The sequence below is a fragment of the Homo sapiens genome, chromosome 8, assembly GCF_000001405.40.
Source record: "Homo sapiens chromosome 8, GRCh38.p14 Primary Assembly".
In the NCBI taxonomy this organism is placed as follows: domain Eukaryota; kingdom Metazoa; phylum Chordata; class Mammalia; order Primates; family Hominidae; genus Homo; species Homo sapiens.
Genome location: NC_000008.11, coordinates 122,835,154 through 122,852,102, shown reverse-complemented (window position 1 = coordinate 122,852,102; position 16,949 = coordinate 122,835,154). Strand labels below are relative to the sequence as shown.

Genomic DNA, 16,949 nt, shown 5'->3' with positions numbered 1-16,949 from the left:
TCACTGAACGATGCTTTGCAGACACCTTTCTTACCACCTCAAGTCGTATCATCCAGGAGGCAGCAAAAATAGTACTCAAAATTTAAAAAATTAAACAGGAAGGAGAACCAAATCAATTCGGAGGGATCTGCTCAGACGTTGCAAGCACGGCCGCTGTCCTTCTGGTACTTTCACGCAATGCGTTTCCATTTCCAAATGTCTTTCACTTACAGTCTTTCATTTCTGCCTCATGACAGATGGTGATTCAGAGAGTGGGTTCTGGAGTAAGACGAGTTGGTTCAGATCCTGCTGCTAACACTGACTTAGTTGGGTAGCCAGGGAACATTTATTTACTCTTTCTGAGCCCCCAAGCCCCGGGCAAATAAGGATATTACAGTACTGACCTCATAGGCTGCTGGGAGATATGAGGTCATGCATACAAAGCCAGTTCCTGGCCCAGAATAATGCCCTCATCCAGGAAATGTTGATGATGTGGCTCACATGTGCCAGGTACTGAGGATCCTGGAGGAATCAAAACAAAGTCCTTCACCTCATGGAGCTTGGGTGTAATGGGGAAAGCAGACAATCTGACCTTGCACTAAATGTTTTGAAGAAAAACCAGAATAAAGGGATGGAGATTGATGGGGTGCTGTTTGAGCTATGATTGTCAGGGAAGGGCCTCCTGCAGGGGGTATCTTTTAAGCAGGACCACAGCTTCATAATCACCACAGTCATCATCACCATCATCATAGCCAACTTTCATTGAGAGACTTCCCAAACTTAACACGTCTAAAATTAACTCTTGACTCTTTCCCAGTTTTCCACAGCTTAGTAAATAGTACCTCTGTTAACCCCAATGAACAGGCCAACATCCTACAAATTATCCACCTTTCTTCTTTTTCTCTCACACTTCATTTTATCCATAAATCTTGGCCGTTCTGTCTGCAAAATAGATCTCCAGCCTAATCACAGCCTTCCAGGACCCCCGTCTCGCACCCCCCAGGCATCCTTCACGTTTTGGTGGGTGTGAATGGCACCCTTGGAGTTCCATGCGAAACATGTGAGCAGCTAGTGCAGTGAGGGAGAAGACCACAATGATAGCTGGGAAAAGAGTGTTCTAGGCTGAGAACACAGCCAGCGCAAATGCCAAAACAGGTGGCCTGTGTCCCAGGGCGAGCCCCAGGTCCAGGGGCTGCAGCACAGTGACAGAGGGGCAGGTGAGGATGTGGGGCCTCAGGGGCTACTGGGAGGACTTGGCTTTTGCTCTGAGTGAGATAGGGGAATGAGTGGAGGCCTGGGGCAGAGGAGAAACAAAATCTGACCCATGTTTTTAAAAAGTAGCTCCAAGGAGAGTAGACAGTCACGGGTATGTGCAGGACATGAGGGGGTGTTGGGGGGCAAGAGATGAAGGTGAGAGGACAGCCAACAGCTACTGCAGTGATCCATGTGGGAGGTAGTGGTGGCATTTTTTTTTTTTTTTTTTTGAGACAGAGTCTCGCTTTCTTGCCCAGGCTGGAGTGCAGTGGTGCAATCTCGGCTCACTGCAACCTCTGCCTCCTAGGCTCAAGCGATTCTTCTGCCTCAGCCTCCCGAGTAGCTGGGATTACAGGTGTGCACCACCATGCCTGGCTAATTTTTTTGTACTTTTCATAGATACAGGGTTTCGCCATGTTGGCCAGGCTGGTCTCGAACTCCTGACCTCAGGTGATCTGCCCGTCTTGGCCTCCTAAAGTGCTGGGATTACAGGCATGAGCCACTGCGCCCGGCCGGTAGTGGTGTCTTGAATGGGGGACAGTGGTAGAGGCAGTGAGAAGCAGCATCACTGACGTAGCTGCTCACGTGTGTCCTATATAAATCCAGGAGCGTCACTCACACCCATCAAAACATGAAGGGCACCTGAGGGGGGGTGCGACACGGGGCTCTTGCGAGGATGTGGTTGGGTTGGAGATCTATTTTGGAGACAGAACAGCCAAGATTTATGGATGGAATGAAGTGTGAGAGAAAAAGAAGAAATGTGGATAATTTGCAGGATGTTGGCCTGTGCATTGGGGTTAATAGAGGTACTATTTACTGAGCTATTGAAGACTGGGAAAGAGTCAAGAGTTAATTTTAGACGTGTTAAGTTTGGGAAGCCTCTCAATGAAAGTTGGCTATGATGATGGTGATGATGATCGTAGTAATTATAAAATTGTGGCTCAGTACAGATTATGAAAAGAACAAACGTTTGCTCTGTGCGGGGCATGAGACACATTAGCTCATGTAAACTCCATAACATGGTAGGCACCGATATCATCCTCATTTGATAGATGAGTGTAATGGGTTGATCGTGGCTCCCCAAAGGATATGTCCATGTCCTAGTCCTCAGAACCCATGAATGCGAGCTTATTTGAAAAGAATCTTTGTAGATGTAATTAAGTTAAGGATCTCAAGATAAGATCATCTTGGATTATCCTGATGGGCCCTAAATCCAATGGCAAGTGTCCACCTGAGACATCCAGAGGAGAAACCACAGAACAGGAGAAGGTGACGTGAAGACAGAGGCAGAGATGGGAGAAATGCAGCCACAAGGAATGCCAGCAGCACCCGAAGCCAGAAGAGGCAAAAAAAAGATGTTCCCTAGAGCCTTCAGAGGGAATAGGGCTTTGCATGCACTTGATTCCAGACTCTCAGCCTCCAGAACTGTGACAGAATAAATTTCTATTGCTTTAACCCACCCAGTTTGTACTAATTTGTCCCAGCAACCCCAGGAAACTAATACAATGAGGAAGACCAGGCATAGAGAGGTAAGCAACTTGCCCAAAGCCACACAGCAAGTGAGTAGCAGAGCTGGGAATGTCTAGCTCCGGAGCCACTCACCCACAGGTAGGCAGCATCAACTTCACATCTCCAATGGGGAAACGGAGACTCAGAGCCACAAGGAACAGAGCTGGTGAATGGCAGTGCCAGGCTCTCTTGGGCCTCCAACAGGGAGGCCAGAGGCCCACCCCACTATCGATTCTCACCTTCCCACCTTGAAAAACCCAGAAAGGTCCCTGCCTGGCCATCCCATGTTTCTTGGTAGCCACCAGTGGATTCAGGGCTTTGCTGAGAATTCTATCCAACCTGGCGGTTTTAGTTCACAGGCAAGCAGCCGCGAAGAGACCCTAGTGGGTAGCAGCCTCGGTAAACAGGTTTCAGTGGCACCTCAGCACTCATCACAATCACTCAGGACTGCGTAGAGTCTGGATTCCGAAACAGCCTCCTCTTTCCATGATACCCATGCTGAAAATCTCTTGGCTTCAGCCCCACCCTGGCCATGAGGACCGAGATCGGAGGAATGCCAGGGGCAGGGCACGCTGCCGGCCTCAGAACCGCTGCCAGCCAACTAGAAATTGCTCTCTGAAGAAACAGCGATTGTCCATTCCCTCTCCCACCAATGCCCGGGAAAATATTTTACTGGATGAAAAGCAAATATGGGAATCCAGGCAAAACATCCTCCCTGACCCCCTGCCTGGTCAAATCTTCATTATTTGAACAGAGATGGACAGTGGGACCTGCAAACAAGGCCTGTGAATGGGACCCAAACGTCTTCCCACACAAAACCGACTTCTCAGAACCCTTAATGAGGGGTGGTCAGTTAATCTGGGGAGTGGTGGGGGGCTGAGAATAGGGGATGGGGGAAGTGTTCCGTTTATAAAGAATAAAATAATTAAATTCAGGTCAGTGGAGGGAGCCACTGGGCTGAAACTAATTTGCAGGCCATGGGGGAGAGCAAGAAGCAAAGGAATGAGCGTTGTGGCTGACTCTGGCTGCCTTCTTCGCCTTCTTCAGTGACAACTGAAAAGAGGTGTTGTGGCCTGGGGGCTGCCTCCAAAAAGAGACCGTCTCTGGTTCGGAGACCCTTCTCTCTTTCAGGCGCACACACACACAGAGACGCAACAACACACTCGCTGTCTCTCAAACCCACACTTTGGCTATGAGATGATGAGGTTTCACCGCTATACTCACTCATTCATTCCTCAAAATATATTTTGAGGGCAAAATGTAAACATGCTCACTCAACTGAGCCGACCAAAGGAGAGCCATTGTTTGAAAGAGCTCCCTGCGGCGGACTTTCTACCTTTATTTACCTCAGTGATGTGGCCCTTGTCCAAGATGAGTTTGGAAGGCCATGTTTGGAGCCATCTTCAGAGTTGTACTATGATGTGAAGAGTAAAGCTCGGTTCATTACTGTCTAAGGGCCTCCTGTGCTGCCTGTCTCCCCTCAACTGTTTCTGAAGGGAAGTCACACTCCTGGTTCCTCAGGCGTGACTGCAGCCACCTTCAGAGGGCGGAGACTGGTCAACACCAGAGAGGAGAGTGTGGTGCTGGGTGCTGGTGGTGAGGTACTCTCAGGCGTTCCAGGAACTTGGGATGCCCTGGGCCCTGGCGCCAGCTTTGGAATAAAGGGCATGTTCCCCAAGGGGACAGTCATCATGAGCACATCCCCCATGTGCGAAGGTGGGTTCTGGTGATGACCACCTTTGTTGTTTTTTAGAAGCCAGCTGTACAGTGTGTCAGGGCACCTGCTCTGGGCTTGGCACTGGGCCTGGCACATAGGGATGGAGAGTGACAAGGTACAAGGCAAGGCCTCTGTTGCCAAGACCCACCCTTGAGGAGGGACCTGGACTCAATGACATGACGTGCCTGTCATCAGGGCCCGGGGTGCTCCCAATTGGAGAAACCTGTTGGAGAAGGTCACTGGGTGGAGGACTGGAAGGTGACAGGCAGAGGGAAGGCCACCTGGGGCAGGAGGCAGGGCGGGGAGGACAGGGTAGAGTGGTCCTGGACAGTGGGCTCAACCCCCCTCAGTGGGGAGGCAGACTTGACGGGAGAAGTGCAGAGATTTCTGGCTGGGGGAGAGGTGGGGAAGCTCACACAGAGGACGGAAGAATTTCACAAGGACCCAGCCCTGGCAGGAGGCTTCCTGTGCAAATGTAAGTCCCTTTGGAACATAGATTCCTTCTGAGGGTGGCATCTGGGAACACAACTTGAAATTGATTCCACTACTGAGCGTGGGGACATCACAGCCTCATCATGCCTCAGTTTCTCTATCTGGAGGCTAATCGCAATAACAACAACATCAGCTAACATTCATATTGCAGGCCCTGTTCTGAGTACCTTATCCAGCTCAACTCTTTTAATGTTTTAATGCTATTATTGTAGTTCACATGCTCGTGGCTGCTACGTTCCTTGGCCTCTCAAATAGAGCTAAACACACCATTTATCTTACCTTAGATTTTCATGAGGCTAAAATCATGGAATGTATATAAGAGAGGTCTTTTAACGGAATGACACTCTACAAATGCCTATTGTTGGTGTTGATCTTATAATTCTATAGGTTGGTGCAAAAGTAATTGCAGTTTTGCCATTACTTTCAATGGCAAAAGCTGCAGTTACTTTTGCACTAACTTAGGCTTCATCCTTTCAGAAGCCATCATAGGACAAAGGTTATTTAAGGCCTGAGTAACAACATTTAAAAAAAAAAGAGAATCACTTTCAAACATGAGCAGAGGAAAGATCCCATGGAGACTGGCAAAAAAAAAAAAAAAAAAATACACAAAGTCTGAAACATTAGAAGGTAGGACATCGGGGGTTTTTGTTTGTTTCTTGTATCAGACCCAACATTCTGAGAAGGGTCATTACTTGCTCCCTGGTTCCCTGGTGGCAGAAGGAATACAGGGCTTCTCAGAGCCAGCGGCAGCATTCTAGCTCACTCAGTTCACAGAAAGCATTTAGTCAATGCCCAGGAGCAAGAGAATAAGACCTGCTCTCCGCCAGAGAAGGACGCATGTTTGGGGAACCTGACTCTTTGCAAAAGTGCGTGCCTAGGTCACTGTAACCTGACAAGTTTGCAAGGATCCCCTAACTCCCCTCCCCACAACCTCCAACAGGTTCCTCCTGAAGATGTCCTAAATCAACCACCCAGCAACCCACAGGGAAACCATGCCTCCTCCCCTCTCTGCCAACATCTACATCCAATCCTCAGTAAGGCTGTCTTTAGATGCTCTACGTATCTCTGAATCTGTCTACTTTACCTCCACGGGCACTGCCCTCATCTCTTACTGGAACTTCCAAAGCAGCCTCACAAGTGGCCTCCCTGTCTCCACTTTTGCCTTCTCCACTCTGGGCAGTGATCTAAAAATGTGGATCAGGTCGCAGCGCTCTCCCGCTTAAACTTTTGAAGGCTTTCCACTGAACCCTAAACAAAATCCAAATTGCTCTACCAAGTCCTCCAGGCCCTATGTGTTGTGGCTCTTTCCTGTCTTTTCTGACTCAGCATCTACCACTGTTCTCCGGATGCTGGTCCTGCCACTTGGCTGAAACTCGGTTTCCTTACCTGTGAAATGGGCAGAGTAATGTCTACCTTCTAGGCTGGCTGTGGGGCCACCAGGAGTGGGGACATAAAAAGCACTTTGTAGACTGCAAAGTGCAGCACCTTTAACTTTTACCCCACTTATAATTGGGCTTTTGTGTTCACACTCTTGTTTCCATGCCTTCTAGTTCCATTTCATCTGTACATCTTATTGTTTGTAATTTTATATGCTTTTCAGATATAAGGATATTTATATACACAAGGTATTATTGGAGACCACGTGACAACATCTCAGTATTCCAGAGATAACAGCCCAGCTAGAGTGTGCTTAAAACCTGGACAATATTAGTTCTTTCCTGGGTAGAAAACCAGAATTTTAATTATGCAGTCAGATTGTTAGAAGCCTAGTGAGATCTCATTAAAATTATAAACAAGTTAATTTTCTTATGAAAATGACAATAATGTGATCTTCAATATCATCTCCAACATTTTCAATAGCGGCAGTTAACATTTATTAACCTTACTTTGTGCCAACCCTTGTATTTCAGCACTTTTTAGGCTTTACCTTTGCTAATCCTCACGACAACATTAGGAAGTATTATTATTGTCCAGATGAGGAAGCTGAAGTTCAGAGACATTAAGTAATTTGCCCAAGGTCACAGTGCTGGTGAGAAATAAAATTCCAATTCTCTTTGTCTGTCTGTGTTTGTAGCCCATGTTCTTTGGTTCTGCCCTATGTGTGTTTGGGCACAGGGAGACCAGGAATGTGTTTATTTGTGGAAAATCATAGGGATGATACGGTTGGGCAGGGGGTATTAGGCAACTGTAAGGCCACCAAGCCCCACACATGCAAGCTAGTTTGGGCAGTAGATTCTCTTCAGCGTTTTCCTTTACTACTTCATGTCTTATGTTCTAACTTGCAAAGTTGAATGATGCCCAGTAGGTTTCCTTGCAGTCAGTGCAAAAGAGTGTGATTCTCTCCTGTAAAGAGCAGTCATTGCCTTTCTGCTATTTAAACCAAAAAGTGTGTGTGTGAGACAGACAGACAGACACAGAGAGAGAGAGAGAAAGAGAGAGAGAGACTCAGTGAGAAATAGTAGTCATAAAGTGCTCTGTTTTAGAAGCTGATGGGGGTGCTCTGTCTAGAAAGATTCCCAGAAGTCTTCCCTCACCCTGACCTCCTTCTACCTCCCTCGTCACTTCACTCATCTGTGACCTCCAGCAAGTTACCTCCTCTCTCCGGACCCCAGTTCTCTCATTAGTAAACCAGAACCTCTAGATTCCCAGAGTTCTTTCCAGATCCCAGACTGCAGGGATACTTTTATATCCATGATCTCTTTTGCCTTCACAATCTCTCTTGGGAGAAGAGCAGGTCAGATTCGCAATGCGAAGCTCAGAGAAGGTGGCATGGTTAATAAGTGGACCCTGGACTAGCGTCGTCAAGTTTCAACACCAATTGCAATGTCAGCTGATTCTTCCGAGCTGCCAGCTGCCTTCGAGGGTGTGGATGGAGCCTGTCTAAGACCTATGTGTCTACCCTTTCAAAACCAAAAGAATTAGCACTCTGAAGCCTCTGAGCATCTCCAAGCTCTGCGTGGAGGCCTTTGGCCACCCCAAGAGATCAATTCCTGCAGGGCAGTTCCCTTTTTCCTTCCCGCCTCCTGGCTTCCTTGTCCTTGCATAGGGAGGAACACAGGCAGACGTGGTAGGAGATGCCCCAAGAAAGGCATAGGTGGCTTGAAGGACTTCCTGAGGTCCTTGCGGATGTAAAATTAACTGCAGAAAATCAGAAGCATGATGTGTGTGTGTGTGTGTGTGTGTGTGTGTGTGAAGGGTGAGAACAAAAAGCGAAGTGTAGAAAAAGCTCTCACAGCCACCTGTATTTCCTCTCTAATTACTGTGTTTTATACTTCTTTACAAATCTATCAGCTTCCTATTATACACCAGACAAATCTTTAGAAATTAGGGAGAAAGAAGCTCCCTGACTAAGACCCACCAGCTGGAAGTGTTTCAGTCATGACATAAGCTCCTTCACGTCTAGCTGGTGAACATTCTCTGCGATCCGGTGCCAACAGTTCTTTCCCAAGGTCCTTACAGCCAAACAGAACATCAGCCAGCCCAGAACCGAGGCAGAAACCCACTAAAGTGGGGTCTCCCCAGATCCGGCAGCAGTTCACCGTTTCCACCCAAATGGCTCAGAATGCTATAGATGCAACAATCCCTGTTTACACGAGGGGTCCCTTAAAAGTGAGCACTCAGCAGTGCTGTCTCACGGTGGGGGCCAAAGGCCACTACCAGTAGGATACAATTTGTGGGGAACTAATGAAAGGCTCCTCTAACCAGAAAGTCCTGGGTAATGACCCCTGTCTGAACCTGGTTTGAAATTCCCATAATAGAGCCACTCATGGCTCGGATGACAAGGAGAGGCCTAGTGAGCTAAAGAAAATAGCCCACGTTTTGCTCTAGAAAGTCCTGATCACATTTGTAACAAGTATACTCTTAGATGATGACTTAATCTCATTGATCCTTGATTTTTGAATCACCAAGCTCCGTAAAATAATGAGAAATACTGATTTAGGACATCTAACACAGAGTCTGGCATGTAACAGATCTGAGTAAATAGCAGTTGTTGCTGTAATTATCTCAATCATTTCGAGGGTCTCTGTTTAAAAAGTTACCATGCTGTCAGGGATGCTCCACTGCAACCATGGCCCACGAGTAAAGGTTCCTTTGATGGTTTGCTAGTTGGGCTCTCAGAAAATGAGCTGGGGCAATGGTTCTCCAAGTGTCACGCCTGCATCACCTGGGAATTTGTTAGAAATGCAGGTTTGGGGGCCTCACCTGCCCCAACCTGTTGAATCAGAGATTCTGGGGGTGAGGCCCAGCCATTTCACATGCTCCCAGGTGATTCAGTGCCCACTGAGTTTGAGAACCCCAAAGCGCAGGCAAAGACTGCCAAATCTGGCTGATCATCAGAACTTCTGGGAGTGTTCAGGGGAGAAAAGTCTTGGGCCTTGACTCTCAGGGATTTGGAGGCTTTAGGTTCTGGGGTGAACCCCGGGAGACAGCTTGTTTTTTTTTTGAGATGGAGTCTCGCTCTGTCACCCAGGCTGGAGTGCAGTGGTGCAATCTCGGCTCACTTGCCAGCTCCGCCTCCCGGGTTCACACCATTCTCCTGCCTCAGCCTCCCGAGTAGCTGGGACTACAGGTGCCTGCCACCATGCCCCTGGCTATTTTTTTGTGTTTTTAGTAGAGATGGGGTTTCACTGTGTTAGCCAGGATGGTCTCGATCTCCTGACCTCCTGATCTGCCCGCCTAGGCCTCCCAAAGTGCTGGGATTACAGGCGTGAGCCACCAAGCCCAGCCAGGAGTCAGCTTTTTAACAAGCTCCCTGATGTTCCCACTGAACTAGCGGTTCAGTTTGTTGGGAGAATTTGCTCCTGGAAAGAACTCAGGGATGGATGTGGTAGGAAGTAGGCTGGGGAAGCAGGCCTGGTAGGACTGGGGGCCCTGAGAGAAGAAGGTGCTGAAGACCAATGTTCTCAATCCCAGGCCTATAGATTTATGAGATGAATTTCCTACAACCTTCTCATTTTCCAACTAGGGAAACCGAGTCCCACATAAAGAGACATGACTGTCCTAAGTCCATGCAACTCATGCCTGGAAGAGCTGGAACTTGAGCTATAGGTCTCGCTTCCAAAGCCAGTGCCCTTCTCACTGTGCCCCAGGAGCTCGTGCTCATTTGTTTGTTCCTTCTTCGTGTCTCTAAGAGTGGGCTCTACAGTCAAGCACTATGTCTGCGCACATTTCCCCAGAGCTGACCATAAGGGAGAGAGCTAGGGAGGACTTGGAGTCTTCATATCTCATACTGAGACTTCATATCTCAGTACAAGTTTAGGTTGTCACTGGGTAGCTAAGCCACTGAGTTACCATCTAAGGGCTTCAGTTTCCTCATCTGTAAAATGGGGGATAACATCTGATCTCACACAGACGCTTAGCGGCTCAAATACAATCACATACATGAAGAGGCTTTCCGAGCTGTCAATCAGCTCCACAAAAGCAGGGGCTTGGGAGGAAAGGGAGGCTTCATCACCATGTCTAGCCAGAACCACTCTCTCTAGCTGGAGGGCTGAAACACCCTCAAAGCAATCAGAGAACAATTAAGCATTCAGCTGCCTGCTAAATGTGAACTCACACTGTGCCTCTCTGCTCAGGCTGCCCCTCTGCCTGGATTGCCCCCCAACCCCCGACCCTCCAAGTGCCCTGTATGTACAAGAACTCTGTGTAGTTCACGGTCTGTTCCTGACTCCCTACTGTGAGGCAGGAGGTGGGTTTTGCAACCCCAAAATGTCTGGCACCTGCAAGGTGTGCTCAGGAAGTGGTGGATAGGGAGATCTCTAGGCCTTAGAGAAGGCCTTTCAGGTGGCTAAATGCTTCAGGGAATTCTTATGATGCGCCACTGGATTGAATACAGGAAAGACACGGGCTTTAAACCAGGCGGAAGTCACCGGCTGACTTCCCGCTATCCCCAGGCCTCTAGCGCCTTTGTCATCTGCTCCACCGTTTGAGAGTTCTCATTAGGGCTAGTGGTTTCCTGCAGGGAAGTGTCAGGGGAAGACAGGCAGGGAGGAAGGGGAAGCAGGAACCAGCAACGCTCCACCTGGCAGCAGTACGTAATGCTGCTGCTAAAACGAAAGAAAGACAAGAACCAAGGGCCAGGTAAACAGTCAATGCTCAGTGTTCGAAACAAGAGTTTTCATGTATCTGGCTGATTCTCCTGCTTCTCTGTGTTTTCCGGGTGTGGAGGATGAACGGAGGCATGCAGAGGAAACATGGCACCATGGTGCAAAGAGCTGTTGGCAGGTGAACAGGAGATTCGGGCTTTTCCTCCCACTCTGCCCTGACAAGCTGAGTGACCTTGAGCAAGTCACACTGGATTTCAGGGTCTTGCTCTTTAAAATGGGTACTGACAATGGGGAGAGGTTTAATTGTTCTCTAAAGGATAAAGCAAACAACACAGAAAAGGAAGTAATGGCCACAGGTCCAGCAAAGCAAAATAAGTTTAAGCTGACACTGTTCTGGCCAGGGTCCTTCCATGAAAACCCAACAGTAATGACAATGACAGTGACGATGGTGACTACTCTTATTTATTGAGTATGCACTGAGCATGAGGCATGGGACAAGTACTTTCTGTGCTTGTAATGAATTTTCTGTGCAATGTAATGACAAGTGTAATGTAAGCCACTTTTAACGTAAAGCACTTTTTCTATGCAATGTAATGACAAGCACTCATCACAATGGTTAATCTTCACAACGGCCCTTTAAGGTAGATACTATCATTATTCCCATTTTGCAGTTGGGCAAATTGATGCACAGAGAAGTTAAACCTGGGATCAGGGACTGGCGAGTGGGAGAGCTAGGATTTGAACCTAGGGTGTCTGATTCCAGAACCTACCTTCTTTCCCACGACACTCTACCAAACTTGGAAGTCTGTATTTCCACAGTTAGGAAAGAGTAACTGTGGGAAGAGTAAAGGACTTAGGCAATTACAATAATTAATCATTTTCTAAACAGAAGACTCAGTCTGGAAAGACCACACTTGGAGCATGCACAAATTCAAAATCTACTAAATTATTCCTAGTGCAGGAAGCACGTCTCAGGAAGTTGGTTTAAACAAAGGTAGAATAGGTGCCCTGGAGCTAGCCTGGCACTTAGAGTCAGACAATCTGGATTCTAGTCCAGTGGCCCCATGTACCAGCCTCTTCTGCTGGGGTCAGGGAGCCACTTCAGAGCCCATTTTCTCACCCTTCAGGCAGTGAAGTGCCAGAATATATATTTCTCAACCTTCAGGCAGTGACCTCTCCACTCACAGATCTAGCTCAGAATAGAGGGTCCCATCAATGTCCACCTTCTCCACAACACAAAGTTTAAAAGATTCTGTCTCTCATACATTAATTATCTATTAACAAAATAACCAGGCATATGTATAACTGCTGGAGTTTCTGAACAAAACGAGGTAACCATTGTTATCCAATTGCAGCCCGAAGCAAAAACAAAACCAAACCCCCCACGATCCCATGCCACCCCGTGCCACCATATCCTGGGGACTGTACAACTTGCAGTGATTTCTGGAAATACTCCCTGTATTGTGGACTTTTAGGAAAACACTGGCCTAAACTGTTCCTAAGGCCTCTTCCAATACCAAGTTCTATAGTTCTACAAAATTATGTCCATAAGTGTGCTTTGCTAATTGCAAACATATCATTGAGGTTCTTATTTTGTTCCCTTAATGCTGGAAAGGTAAAAAACAGGGAGGACCCCTTGGAGTCCAAAGGAGGTCATCTGAGGATACGAGCCGGGCAGGCCTCTGCCACTTCACACCGAGGGTGGAAAACACATGGAAGTCACTGGGCCCGAGAGGCTGTACCAGCTAAAAATATAAACAAGTGGAAGAAGGGTTTAGATGAACTCATGGGTGAGTGAATGATGGGGTGAGGGAAGTTGGAAATGTTCAGATTTTGTCCATTGCTTGTGCAACCTGCTCTGTTCTCTGTTAGCAATAGAATACTTGGCTGAATGGAGTGCGGATGGGCCCACAGAGAGCAATGCCACATTCTAGTGTGTGCCCAAGATAAAAAAAGAAGGAAGGGAAAAAAAAAGTAATGAGGGTATAGTGGGGTTCCCTGCTCCAACATATAACTTCTATAATCATACACGAAAAACCCTTTGGAATACATGTAGAAATGAAAGAAAGAAAAATAATAATTTCTGATTTGATCTCTAAAGATCTCAACTTTGTTAACATTTTGCTGTAATTTCATCATGCATTATGTGTTTTTCTTAAATAAAAACTATATATACAGTATGAATCCTGCATTTTTCATTTAACATTTACCACTTTAAAAAAATCACATTGGCCAGGCATGGTGGCTCACGCTTGTAATTCCAGCACTCTGGGAGGGCAAGGCGGGCAGATCATGCGGTCAGGAGTTCCAGACCAGCCTGGCCAACAGGTGAAACCCCGTCTCTACTAAAAATACAAAAATTAGCTGGGTGTAGTGGCACGTGCTTGTAGTCCCAGCTACTCGGGAGGCTGAGGCAGGAATGAATCGCTTGAACCTGGGAGATGGAAGTTGCAGTGAGCCGAGATCGAGCCACTGCACTCCAGCCTGGGTGACAGAGTGAACTCTGTCTCAAAAAAAAAAAAAAAAAAAAATCACATTACTAAATACTGTAGACTTCATATATGATCGAAAGGTTTCTACCACGTATTTAACCATTTATTTATTTAATTGTTTAATTATCGTACTATTCACCTCTTGTTGAACCTTGTTTTCTTTTCCCAGTTTTCTGCTGTATAAACACGCTGGGACTGACATGCCTCGTTACTTCTTTTTGGAGAAATAACAATAAATCTCCAAATCTCAGAGTAGAACATGTAATGAGTTTCTCTTACATAGACAAAGGGCATGTGAGGGATGGGCACACGAGGAATATTCGCCAGGGTGTCTGTGGTGACTTGATGTAATACCATTTTTAAACGTTCCTTGATACCCAGGAAGTGCCCCTGGCACCCCACTGTGCTGTGCTTTCTGCTCTCTTCCCACAGCTATTTGTTTTTGTAGAAGATTCTTCCCTTGCTCTGCAAACTGAGAGCACTTGGAGAGCTACAGAGATGTGCAGCCACTGGGCTAAAGCACACCCAGACGGGGCTCTTATTAGAAATGCAAATCTCCTCTCTGCTGACAAATCCCAAACACAAAGCTCAACGGGCTCTTCCACCCTCCTCTCCCCTAAGCGGGTGGCCTCTGTCTTCCATGTTACCTGAATGAGCTGAAAGGGAGTTGGCTGGGTTGTGGATCAGTAATCTGAGAAGGAAAGGGTCTGTCTGAAATGGAATTGTCTCCCCAGTGTTTCCATTTTACCCAATAAGAGGAAGTCAGTCTCTTTCTTCTCAGCCTTAACTCTACTAAAAGCCATTAAGCACCGACAAAGACAGGAGACATTATCTGTTGGCAAGTGTGAATGCTGCATTCTGTACCTCCAGCAGGGATGGAAATTGAGCTGTTTACTTGGTGGCCACCCCAAGGGACTGAAATGAAGCTCTAATGTGACAGCATTTCTGAAATGCCAGTTTTAAATCCCAAATTCTCACCCTCTATTCCCCACCTGTAAAACGCACTAGGAATTTGCACTATTAGCACTATTAATTTAGCCGAATTACACCCTGACTAGATCTGACCACCAGATGCAAATGAAGTCACCAGTAGGTGACCACAGTAACCTGGGTCTGGTTTTGGAAAGGAGGGTGGGTGTTTGAAACCTGTAGGGGTAGTGGCAGGACCAGCTTATGGAATAACTTTCCTTATTACAAGTGACTTCCAGGATGGGGCTCACGATTAGAGATGGGGGTCTGGAACCCATTGCTCAGATGGGGTTTCCTTTGATGGTCAGTAATACAGTTACTGGAAAGGGGTCCAGATCTAGATCCCAAGAGAGGGTTCTTGGATCCTGCACAAGAAAGAATTCAGGGCGAGTCCATAAAGTGAAAGCAAGTTTATTAAGAAAGTAAAGGAATAAAATAATGGCTACTCCATAGGGGTTGCCCATTTTTATGGTTATTTCTTGATGATATGCTAAACAAGGGGTGGATTCTTCATGCCTCCCCTTTTTAGACCATATAGGGTACCTTCCTGACGTTGCCATGGTGTTTGTAAACTGTCATGATGCTGGTGGGAGTGTAGCAGTGAGGATGACCAGAGGGTCACTCTGGTCAAAATCTTGATTTTCGTGGGTTTGGGCCAGCTTATTTACTGCAAGCTGTTTTATCTGCAAGGTCTTTATGACCTGTATCTTGTGCGGACCTCCTACCTCATCCTGTGCCTTAGAATGCCCTAATTGTCTGGAAATGCAGCCCAGTAGTGTAAGATTCTCCCTGGGGCCTGAAAGCTTAAGGGGATGAATAACTCCTCCCTTCTCAGGCCCAGTACCAAGGCGCAAGCCTTGCGCCAGCAGTGTGGGCCAGCAAAATAGCAGAAGCAGGAAGAAAGCCGGCCGGAAGACACCTACCCTGGCTGGAAGACACGTACCCGTGAAGATCAAGAAAGAGGCCATCCAGGTACAACGTAGCAGTTACGTCAGACTAGGACACTTCCTGTTTACAGGAGACTATAAAATCTTTGCCCTGTCCTCACTTGGTGCTGATGCCATTTTAGGCCTCAGCCCGCCTGCACCCAGGAACTCATTAAAACAGCATGTTGCTCCACACCGCCTCGTGTTGTCTGTTGGTTCGAACGCGCGCTCTCCGGGTTCGAACCGATACAAGAACCTTAAGTCAGGTGCCAAAACCGGGGAGGGGCTCAGGTCTGCATCCCCTGTGGACCTACCCCTCCACCCCGGAGAGCAAGCCACAGCAGCCGGACAAAGGAAGCTCCTCAGCCTCCAGTTGCCTCTCTGTGCATGCACATCGGTCACTGATCTCGCCTACTGGTAAGTTTTCCCGGGAGCCCTGTTAACAGGGGAAAATCCACATGGCCTCTCTTGATTTCTCTGGTCCAAAAATCCAACGTTGGTCCAAGAAGGTTCCGGTGTGTGTCAGGCACTTGCTGATCATCTGGCCTTAGGGGGGTGCCTCTAAGCCATTAGATCCTGTTCTGGGAACGAAAATGGCAGCAGTGACAATTGCTCCTTTTATTGTCCCCCTCTTGCTGTCCAGGATGTTCTCCTCTTCCTTGTTCTCTCAGCCTACCCTCTGTTGTGGGAAATTCCCAGTCTTCCACTCCAAAGGACAGCCCTCTAGGCTGCCTCATAAAAAAAAACCCTAAAAACCTTAGGCCTCAGGCAAGATATCTGCCCTAAGTGCTGTGTCTTTTTCGCAATTCAGTCTGGCCACAATACGAATTAAATAATGGGTCCAAATGGCCCGCAAATGAAACATTCAACTTTACAATTTTAACTGACTTAAGCAATTATTGCTGACAACTGAAGAAATGAGAAGTTCCTTATGTCCAGGCCTTTTTATTCTCAAATCACAACCCAACCTCTGCAATTCTTTCTTACCTGTTCAAATCCTTCTCCATTCTTGCCACCCTGATCGCCTTTCTCTTCCCGACCCTACCTCTTTTTCCTCATTAAATCCAGCAGACTGCTGTCCACCCCTCCCAGCCCTTACCTCTTCCTCTCAACCATCTTCTTTAACCCCTGCAAGCCTCCTCGTTGTCTTCTCAGCTGCCATCTTCCCAGTCGCCATCTTCTCAGTAAGCAGTATCCACTTCTTTTCCTACACCGTCCCCTACTCAGGACAATTCTAGTATTGCCTGTACCCATTCTCCTCCCCCACCGCCCTCTCCTGAGGCTTGTAAACCCATCCCACCACCTTACGCCCCTATCCTCCACTGCTTATCAACTCAACCACCCTTCCCCCTTCAAACCCTCAGCAGAAACCACTTCCAGCTTCTTCCTTCTCTCCTGCCCTTACTCGCTCGGGCGCCATCTTTGGCCCATGCCCCGCCCTTACTTCAGCGCCGGTGCTAGAATACCCCCTTCAGAAAGTAGTAGAAAATGAAGGTATTGTTAGAGTTCATGTTTCCTTCTGCCTCACTGATCTCTCTCAAATTAACAAAAGATTCGGTTCATT

General features: G+C 47.4%; 1 protein-coding gene across 21 annotated transcripts in view, besides 3 other annotated features; it reads right to left on the bottom strand.

Annotated features, from left to right (window-relative positions):
• The window catches only part of ZHX2 (zinc fingers and homeoboxes 2), a 194,132-nt gene that overhangs the window by 122,408 nt on the left and 54,775 nt on the right, over nucleotides 1–16,949 (bottom strand). For 2 of the 21 annotated variants that reach the window (NM_001412807.1, NM_001412809.1), the window contains exon 2: nucleotides 384–501. The exons of 18 other annotated variants lie outside the window; for them this stretch is intronic. The gene's annotated coding sequence lies outside the window, so the exon portion shown is untranslated. Of the gene's footprint in view, nucleotides 1–383; nucleotides 16,426–16,949 lie in introns of those variants that run through there. One more of the 21 variants, XM_047421589.1, reaches the window with a different exon arrangement.
• Nucleotides 3,991–4,080: an enhancer, noted in NCBI's record as "active region_27859". NCBI's record gives its function as "activates an Ori minimal core promoter by ATAC-STARR-seq in GM12878 lymphoblastoid cells {active_cell/tissue: GM12878}" and the evidence as "EXISTENCE:reporter gene assay evidence [ECO:0000049][PMID:35858748]".
• Nucleotides 13,654–14,485: an enhancer, noted in NCBI's record as "OCT4-NANOG-H3K27ac hESC enhancer chr8:123849857-123850688 (GRCh37/hg19 assembly coordinates)". NCBI's record gives its function as "activates a minimal SCP1, AML or CMV promoter by ChIP-STARR-seq in primed H9 embryonic stem cells {active_cell/tissue: H9 hESC(primed)}" and the evidence as "EXISTENCE:reporter gene assay evidence [ECO:0000049][PMID:30033119]".
• Nucleotides 15,133–16,332: an enhancer, noted in NCBI's record as "CDK7 strongly-dependent group 2 enhancer chr8:123848010-123849209 (GRCh37/hg19 assembly coordinates)". NCBI's record gives its function as "activates an origin of replication core promoter dependent on BRD2, BRD4, P300/CBP, MED14 and CDK7 cofactors, with strong dependence on CDK7, by STARR-seq in HCT116 cells {active_cell/tissue: HCT116}" and the evidence as "EXISTENCE:reporter gene assay evidence [ECO:0000049][PMID:35650434]".